The following is a 9,936-nucleotide window of genomic DNA, read 5'->3' as shown; positions in this document are numbered from 1 at the left end:
TGTGATTAAGTAAATGGAGGAAATATGAGTATTGACCTTTTTTCGCTTTAAGAAACATATAGCACTTATTGTATGCCAGAAATGATTCTAAGTACTTAAAAGTATGTCACTTAACAAGGGGGATATATTCTGAGAAATCCATCAGTAGGCAATTTCGTGGTTGTGTGAACATCATAGCATGTGCTTACACAAACCTAGATGGTGCGGCCTACGACACACCTGGGCTAGATAGCACAGACTATTGCTCCAAAGCTACAACCTGCACAGCATGTGACTGTACTCAATTCTGTAGCAACTGTAACACAATGATAAGTATTCGTGTATCTAAACATATCTCAGCATAGAAAACGTGTGGTGATAATATGGTATAGAGGATTTTTTTTTTTTTTCCTAAGAGTCTCGGTCTGTCTCCAAGGCTGGAGTGCAGTGGCGAGATCTCAGCACACTGCAACCTCTGCTTCCCGGTTCAAGCAATTCTCCTGCCTCAGCCTCCTGAGTAGTTGGAACTACAGGCGCCCACCACCACACTTGGCTAATTTTTGTATTTTTAGTAGAGACGGGGTTTCACCACGTTGGTCAGGCTGGTCTCGAACTCCTGACCTCATGATCAGGTCTGGGTGGGTGAGCCACTGCACCCAGACTTGGAATATTTTTTAAAGTATACCTCTCTGGGTCACTTACCATGAATGGAGCTTGCGGGACTGGACTTTGCTCTGGGTCAGTCAGTGACTGAGTGGTGAGTGACTGTGAAGCCCTAAGACATTACTGCTGTGAAAGAAAAATAAATCTTGGGGCCCCCACATCACTAAGCTAAAGGGAAATGTCAAGCTGGGAACTACTTAGGGCAAACCTGCCTCCCATTCTATTCAAAGTCATCCCTCTGCTCACTGAGATAAGTGCATATCTGATTGCCTCCTTTGGAGAGGCTAATCAGAAACTCAAAAGAATGCAACCATTGGTCTATATCTCTGTTTTGGTACCAGTAACATGCTGTTTTGGTTACTGTAACCTTGTAGTATAGTTTGAAGTGAACCCAAATGTCCATCAATGATAGACTGGATTAAGAAAATGTGGCACATATACACCATGGAATACTATGCAGCTATAAAAAAGGATGAGTTCATGTCCTTTGTAGGGACATGGATGAAGCTGGAAACCATCATTCTGAGCAAACTGTTGCAAGGACAGAAAAACAAACACCGCATGTCGTCACTCACAGGTGGGAATTGAACAATGAGAACACTTGGACATAGGAAGGGGAACATCACACACCGGGGCCTGTTGTGGGGTGGGGAGAGGGGGGAGGGATAGCATTACGAGATATAACTAATGCAAATGACAAGTTAATGGGTGTGGCACACCAACATGGCACATGTATACATATGTAACAAACCTGCACATTGTGCACATGTACCCTAGAAGTTAAAGTATGGAAAAAAAAAAAAAAGAATGCAACCATTTGTCTCTTACCTACCTGTGATCTGGAAGCTCCCTCCCATCTTCAAGTTGTCCCGCCTTTGCTTCGAGTTGTCCCACCTTTCCGGACGGAACCAATGTTCATCTTACTTACGTTGATTTATGTCTCATGTCTCCAAAAATGTATAAAACCAAGCTGTGCTCTGCCCACCTTGGGCACATGTAGTCAGGACCTCCTGAGGCTGTGTCACCTCAACCTTGGCAAAATAAACTTTCTACATCAACTGAGACCTGTCTCAGATATTCAGGGTTCATACTGTACACTATTGTAGACTTTAGAAATGCTCTATACTTAGGCTACACTAAATTTATTTTTTAAGTAATTTTGCTATTTTATGATGGGTATGACATCACTAGGCAATAGGAATTTTTCAACTCCATTATAATCTCATGGGGCCACCATCATAGATATGGCGTGGTGTTGAATGAAGCAGTGTTGTGAGGTTCATGACTGTGTTTACTCATCAATTCTCATAATGATACCGTGAAGTAGGTAGTAAAGGTTGCTGTGAGGATTAAATGAGATAATATAATCATTTATAAACAGTGCTCCAGATATAGAAAATATTCAAAAAATGTTGCTAATGTTATTATTATTACGAATGCTTTTGAATGAACTCAATTTAAGCTTTACTCATTTTCTAGAAACGAGGCAGGTAAATAATATTAACAGAAGTGACAATATAATGGTAGCTGTGGTTTATTGAGTACTGATTACATGGAAGGAGCTGTGTTAGGTTCCTTACACATATGACGATCTTGCGAGGCAGAAAGTATTAGATCCGTGATGGAAACTGAGGCTCAGAGAGGTTGAGGAATTTGCCCAAATTAACACAGCAAGGTTTTGGCAGGCTCCAAAACCTATGTTCTTCCCATACTTCATGTTGCAGAGGGTAGAACTAATAAACAGATGTCACCATCAGTAAACAAACTACAAAATGTAAGTTTATGAGAATTGTTGAATGATCCCTATATATGGCTGTGTCTGCTCTCTAAACACCAACGTGTTCATGTAAGAATAACTACCTCAAAGTAGTGGATATCTGCATATTGCCTGGAACAGTGCCAGGTACACAGTTGGTGCTTGACAAATGGAGGTGTTGCTTGTAGTGCTGGCAGTCTTTGATATGGAGGGAGTAGCTACTCCCATTATGTATGTGGATATATTTATTCATTCTAGAGTTGCATAAATAATATTGTTAATCTTTTTGCAAGGGAAGTTCTTGCTTAAGAGGAAGATGGTTGAAGTCTAAAAAGAAGATCAGAGCAAAAGACAGAAAACAGACTCAAAAAGGCGGTCAGGAGGGCTGGGTTTAGGGTGCAGCTCTGCCCCTCACCAGCTGCAGTGCTATGGTCAGGGCCATCCTGCTCCCTTGGTTCCCACACCCTGGATTCTCAAATCCTCTGATGAGCCCATAGCAAGAGCAGGAGCAGGAGCAGGAGCAATCGGCCTAGCAGAGCTAACCTTGGGGTTGGTGTTGGAATTCAGACACACTCCTCTAGGGCTGAGGTGCGGGGACCCAACCATGATCCTGGTGGGAGCCTTGGACCACAGCCCGCTAGACCCTGAGATCTGGATCCTTTGAGGTCATGTGGAAGGAGGACTTCTGGAATCAGAATTGAGGCTGTGACACCTCTTTAATATCATGTCTGAGCAGCTTGTGTTCCCTCTCCCAACTTCCTCCTTTCCCCTCAGCTAAGCCAGCCTCTGCAAACCCCTTTCTGTTGCTTTCTCTCCTTTGCTGCTAGCCCCTTGTCATCCATAACCCTCTAACAACATATTTCTGATCACACCACATTGAGCTGTAGGTTATCAAAGCCTCCTTTGATAGCAGCCCATGATTCTGTGTAAGAAACTGTATCTGCTCACATCACACACCTATTTCAGAGAAAAATTCTGTTTAACTGTTTAGGCTCTAAGTGACCGACAACTGTCTTGATGCAGGACATAATTGGACAGTCAGACAAATATTAGTATCTGACCTCAAATTTGATTGTGTCTTTTCTTTAAATAAATTGTCAGCAATAAAGTCATCTTCTGTTTTGTATAGAGAATTATGGTTGCATGTACTCTCAAATGCATTTTCCCTTGTCTTCCTTACACTGAACCTGAAAGATAGATGCTATTAACCCCTTGCCAATATCTTATAAACATCAGTGAACTCATGTAAGATTAACTGCCTCAAAGTTTCATTAACGATTAAAGGAGATGATACAGTGTCTTACAGAGTGCTGGGTATAGAGTCAGTGCTTAACATATAAAGATGACTCTAGTACTGGCAGTGGTATGGTTGGGGGAAGTTATTTTCATTACATCATATGATGTAGATGTGAAATTTATCATCAAAGCTCACTTCTAAACTAAGATAACTAAACACAGATCCTGTCATATTTATTTTTTATTTTTAAATTTTTATCTATTTATTTTTTTGAGACTGAGACACCCAGGTTGGAGAGCAGTGGCACAATGATGGCTCACTGCAGCCTCAACATTCTGGCCCAAGTAATCCTCCCACCTCAGCCTCCTGAGTAGTCAGGACCACAGGTGCGCACCACCACCACACCTGGCTAACTTGTCATATTTTTTACCTAATTTTTAAATGTCAACCATAAAGGAAGTGTCTGAGCAGTGGCAAGTCAACAATTGAGTTCTGGAACCAGCAGTAGCCTAAAGAATCTGTTACTGACTCACTATGATAGCATATTAGTTCCAGGAGCTTTTTTGTCAATTTTTTTTAGATTCTCTACATAGATAATCATGGAATCTATAAGCAAAGGCGATTTTACATCTTCCTTCTCAATCTGTGTATCTTTTATTTCCTTTTCTTGTCACATTGCATTGGCTAGGACTTCCAGGATCATGATGTAAAAGAGTGGTGAGAGGAGACATCCTTGTCCTATTCTTGATTTTAGTGGGAAAGCTTCAAGTTTCTCACCATTTAAGCGTGATGCTAGATGCAGGATTTTGCAGATGTTCTTTATCAAATTGAGGAGACTCCTCTCTATTCCTAGTTTGCTGAGAGTCTATTTTCCATTTTTAAATCAGGAATGGGTGTAGGATTTTGTGAAATGCTTCTTCTGGATCTATTGATATAATCATATAAGTTTTCCCCTTTAGCTCATATGATGGAATAATCAGTTTTCAAATGTCGATCATACTTGCATACCTGTGATAAATCCCACTTGGTCATAGTATATAGTTCTTTTTATACATTTTTTAATTGTTTGCTAATATTTTGTTGAAGATTTTTCTGTCTATATTTATGAGAGATATTGGTTTGTTATTAGGGTAATGCTGGCTTCATTGAGTGAGTTAGGAAGTAGTCTCTCAGCTTTTATCTTCTGGAAGAGATTGCAGATAATTCGCATAATTTCTTTCTTAAATGTTGGATAGCATTTACCAGTAAAGTCATGCGGGCCCAGTACTTTCTGTTTTGGAAGGTTATTAATGTTTGTTTCAATTTCTTTAATACTTGTAGTCCTATTCAGGTTATCTCGGTCTCTTTGTGAGTTTTGGCAGATTGTGTCTTTCAAGGAATTGGTGCATTTTATCTATTGTGAGCATAGAGCTGTTCATAGTATTTCTGTATGATCCTTTTAATAACTGTGGGATCTGCAGGGATGCTACCGCTTTTATTTCTGATATTACTAACTTGTGTCCTGTTTCTTTTTTTTTTTTTCTTGGTTAACCTCACCAGAGATTTATATTGCTCAAGAACCAACTTTTGGTTTCTTTGATTTTCTCCATTAATTTCCTGTTTTAAATTTCAGTTTCTCTTTTATTATTTTCTTCTGCTTAACTTTGTCTTTATTTTTTCTTTTACTAGTTTCCTAAAGTAGAACCATAGATTGATTTTTGACCTTTCTTTTTTTTCTAATATATTAAGATGATAATTTCTAAGTACTACTTTCACAGCATCTCACAAATTATAATAAGTTGTATTTTCATTTTTATTTAATCAAAATACATTAGTTTCTCTTGAGATTACTTCCTTGATTCATGTGTTACTTAGAAATGTGTTGTTTAATCTCTAACTATTTGGGGATTTTCCAGCTATCTTTCTATTACTGATTTCTAGTTTAATTCCACTGTGATCTGAGAACAGACATTATATAACTTTTATTGTTTTAAATTTGTTAAGGTGTGTTTTATGGCCCATAATGTAGTCTGTTTTGGTAAATGCTCTGTGTGTGCTTGAGAAGAATGTGTATTCTGCTGTTGTTGGATGAAGATGAAATAGTCTATAGACGTCATTTGATCCAATCGATTGATGGTGTTGTTCAGTTCAACTACGTCTTTACTGATTTTCTGCCTGCTAGATCTATCAATTACTATTTATTTCTTCTATCTACTGTTAGAGGCCAATTGAAGTATTCAACGGCAATAGTGGGTTAATCTATTTCTCCTTGCAGTTTTATTAGTTTTTGGCTCACATATTTTGGCACTCTGTTGTTACGCACATACACATTAAGAATTATTATGTCTTCTTGGAGAACTGACTCTTTTATTATCATGTAGTACTCCTCCTTATCCTTGACAATTTTCCTTTCTCTGAAGTTTTCTTTGTCTGAAATTAATGTAGCTACTCCAGCTTTCTTGTCATTAACGCTAGCATAGAGTATCTCTTTTGTTTTTATTTCTATTAAAGTAAAATATACATAACATAGAGTCTATCATTTTAACCATTTGGAAGTGTACAGTTCACTGGTGTTAAGTACATTCACATCATTGTGTAGCCATCACCACCATCCATCTCCAGAATGTTTCCTTATCTGAAACTGAAACTTTGTACCCATTTTCCCCTTCTGCAATCCCTAACAACTACCATTCTATTTTCTATCTCTGTGAATTTGACTACTCTAGATACCTCACATATATTGAGTCATGCAATATTTGTCCTTTTGTGTCAGTTTATTTCACTGAACGTATCTTCACAGTTCACTCATGTTATGGCATTTGTCAGAATTTTGTTCCTTTTTAAGACTGGATAATATTCTTTTGTACGTATACACCATATTTTGTTATTCTATTCATCGATTCAGTGAAAATGTTTCACCTTTTTGCCATTGCAAATATGTGGATATGAACATTGGTATACAAATATCTGTTTGAGTCCCTGATTTCCAAATTTTGGGGTACATACCCAGGAGTGGAGTATCATCCCTTTAATTTTAAATGTAATTAATGCATTAAATTTTTTACGTAGAAATGGTGTCTTGCTATATTGCCCAGGCTGGTCTTGAAACCCTGGCCTCAAGAGATCCTTGTGCCCTGGCCTCCCAAAGGACTGGGATTATAAATGTGAGCCACCACACCCAGCCCCTTTCAATTTTAATGTTAAGTCTGTGTCTTTATATTTAAACTGGCTTTCTTTATATATATAGTTGGGTCTTAGTTTTTGTATCCACTTTGACAATACCCTGTCTTTTAATTGATATATTTAGACCATTGGTGCTTAAAGTGATTCATACAGTTGATTTAATATCTATCATATTTGTTACTGTTTTCTATTCATGATCTTTTTTCTACTTGTTTTGTTTTGGTCTTCCACTTTTTTTCTGCATTCTCTGGTTTAAATTGACCATTTTGTATGCTTCTATTTTTTCTACTCTGTTAGCATATCAAACTTCATTTAAAAATTTTTTTAGCAGTTGCTCTTGACTTTGCAATATACATTTACAACTAATCCAAGTCCTCTTTCAAGTAACACTGCATCCCTTCCCATGTGGGGCAAGTACCTTAACAGAGTACTCCCAATTTCTCTTCCCATTCCTTATAACACTGCTGCCATTCATTTCAACTACCTGTAAGCAATAATTACCAAATACATTTTTGATATTATTTTAAATAGTTATCTATTAGACCAATTAAGAAGAAAAATAAAAAATCTTATTGTGTCTTGATTCTTTAGTGCTCTTTCTTTATGCAGATGCAACTTTCTACTTCATTTTCTTTCTGAAGAATTTATATTTAACACTTCTTGCAAGACCAGTCTACTGGCAATAAATTCCCTCAATTTTTGTTTGTCTGAGAGAGTCTTTATGTCTCCTTTACTTTTGAAAAATAATTTCTTTAGATGGAGAATTATAGGTTGGTGGCTTACATCCCTTGAAACATTAAATATTTCATGCCACTCTTTTTGATGGCATGGTTTTTGAAGAGAAGGCCAATATAATTCTTATTTTTCTCCTTGCTCCTGCAAAGGTAAAAATATTTGTCTGTTGGCTTCTTTCAGTATATTTTCTTTGCCTTTTTCTACAGCTTGAAAATGGCATGGTCAGGTGTACATTTTTTGGTATTTCTCCTGCTTGGTGTTCTCTGAGCTTTCTAGATATGGGGTTTCATGTCTATTATTAATTTTGGAAAATTTTAACTCATTATCGCTTCAAGTGGTTACTGTTCTTTTTTCTTTCTTCTCCTTCACATTCCCATTATGTGTATGTTACACCTTTTCTAATTGTTCTACAGTTCTTCAATATTCTATTTTGTCTATTTTATTCTTTTTTCCCCTTGTATTTCAGTTTGGGATGTTTCTATTGACATTTCTCCAAGTTCAATGATTCTTTCATTGGCCATGTCCAGTCTATTGAGGAGGCTTTCAAAGGCATTCTTCATTTCTGTTCCAGTGTTTGGGATTTCTGGCATTTCCCTCTTCCATCCTTCCCTCCCTCCCTCCATCCCCTTCCTCCCTTCCTTCTCTCTTTCTTTCTCTTTCTTTGTTTCTTTATCTTTCCCTGTCTCTCTCTCTCTGTGTCTCTGTCTCTGTCTCTCTCTCTCTCTCAGGCTGGAGTACAGTGACATGATCATGGCTTACTGCAGCCTCGACCTGCCAGGCTTAAGCAGTCCTACCACCTCAGCCTCCAGAGTAGCTAGGACCACTGGCACATGCCACCATGTGCAGCTAATTTTTGAATTGTTTGTAGAGATGGGATCTCACTACATTGCGCAGGCTGGCCTCGAACTTTTGGGCTCAAGTGATCCTCTCACCTCAGCCTCCCAAAGTACTGGGATTATAGGCATGAGCCACCACACCCAGTCCTTTTGTTCTCTCTTAAAAGCTTCTACCTCTCTGCTTACATTTTCCATTCATTCTTGCATGCTGTCAACGTTTTCCATTAGAGGCTTTTGTCTTTCAATCATAGTCATAGCTGTTTTAAATTACTGGGCTGATAATTCTAACATCTTTGCCATATCTTAGTCCGGTTCTGATGTTCGCTCTGTATCTTCAAACTATGTTGTTTGTCTTTTAGTATGCCTTGTTATTTTATGTTGAAAGCCAACACAATACACAAAATGAAAGGAACTGAGGTACTAGTCCTTTATCTGTCTAGGGGTTAGGCTATAATTAGTGTTTGCTGGAGCTGTAGTTGTCAGAGGCTAAAATTTCCTCTGGTATCCTTGTTCTTGTCTCCCATGTTGTCTTTATATTTCTCCAGATGCCTCTTCTGAAATCACATGTGGGATGCACAGTGCTTACAGTTGCATGGCCTTGTTATTATACAAGAGCCCTGTTGATGTGTTGATAAGGTGTAGGGGAGGGGAAGTGTTCTAAAATCCTATGATTAGGGCTCATCCTTTTCATGAGCCCGTGTCCTTGGGCTGTGACCTCAGTTTTTATTTTCTCTCTCTTAGGTAGACAGAAAGGTTAGGGGGAGCTGCAGTTGGGCACTTCTCTTTTTCCAGGCTGTCAGTCTCTGATATTTTTATCAAATAGGCTCAGGTAAAATGGCTTCTCTTGAGGGCAGACCTTGTTAAGAACAGAAAGCTCTGGTGTATTTCCAAATGGCTGCTTTCCCCCTCTCCATGCCGGAAGCACTTGTTGATTTTTCTCCAGTCTTCACTGTGAGAACCTGGTAGGGTTCCTGGAGGTAAAAATCATGCAGGTGAGGGCCCTCCATGCAAAACTGGGCCATCCTAGGGTTTTTAGCTCTCAAACTTCTCTACAGTATGATTCGAGCAATTAATCAATGCCAATCTAAGGTTTCTCTACCTTGTTATTGGATACTGGTCCTGGGTCCTGCAGTGTTTTCTGCTCCTGGGCTTCGGCTTTGGTAAGTTGCAGTTCTCTGTATCTGTCTCTTACATTTTGAGGCCAACAATTTGCTCTGCGACCTTTGCTCTCTGAAGGACCTTAGAAGAATTGTTGCTTTTTAGGGTGTTTGACTTTTTTCTTGTAATGATTTCTAAGCTCCTTACGTGTCAGAGTGGAATCCAGAAGTTCCATATGGCAGATTTTTGAACACATAGGCGACTTCACTCATTATCTTTTTGAAATTTTAGGTTGTTTAATAATGGCACAATCTTCCAGAGTTCTTACAGATTTTTTTTTAATTTATTTTACTCGTTTCTTATTTCCAAAGCTAAATATAACACAGTGGTGCCAAAAATAATGAAATATAGGTTGTTTTTTAAAAAAGCAAAATCATATCATTTAAATACCACCCCTTAGGAAATATTAT

This window comes from Homo sapiens, chromosome 10 (genome assembly GCF_000001405.40).
Source record: "Homo sapiens chromosome 10, GRCh38.p14 Primary Assembly".
NCBI classification, from domain to species: domain Eukaryota; kingdom Metazoa; phylum Chordata; class Mammalia; order Primates; family Hominidae; genus Homo; species Homo sapiens.
This window is presented reverse-complemented; position numbering follows the sequence as displayed.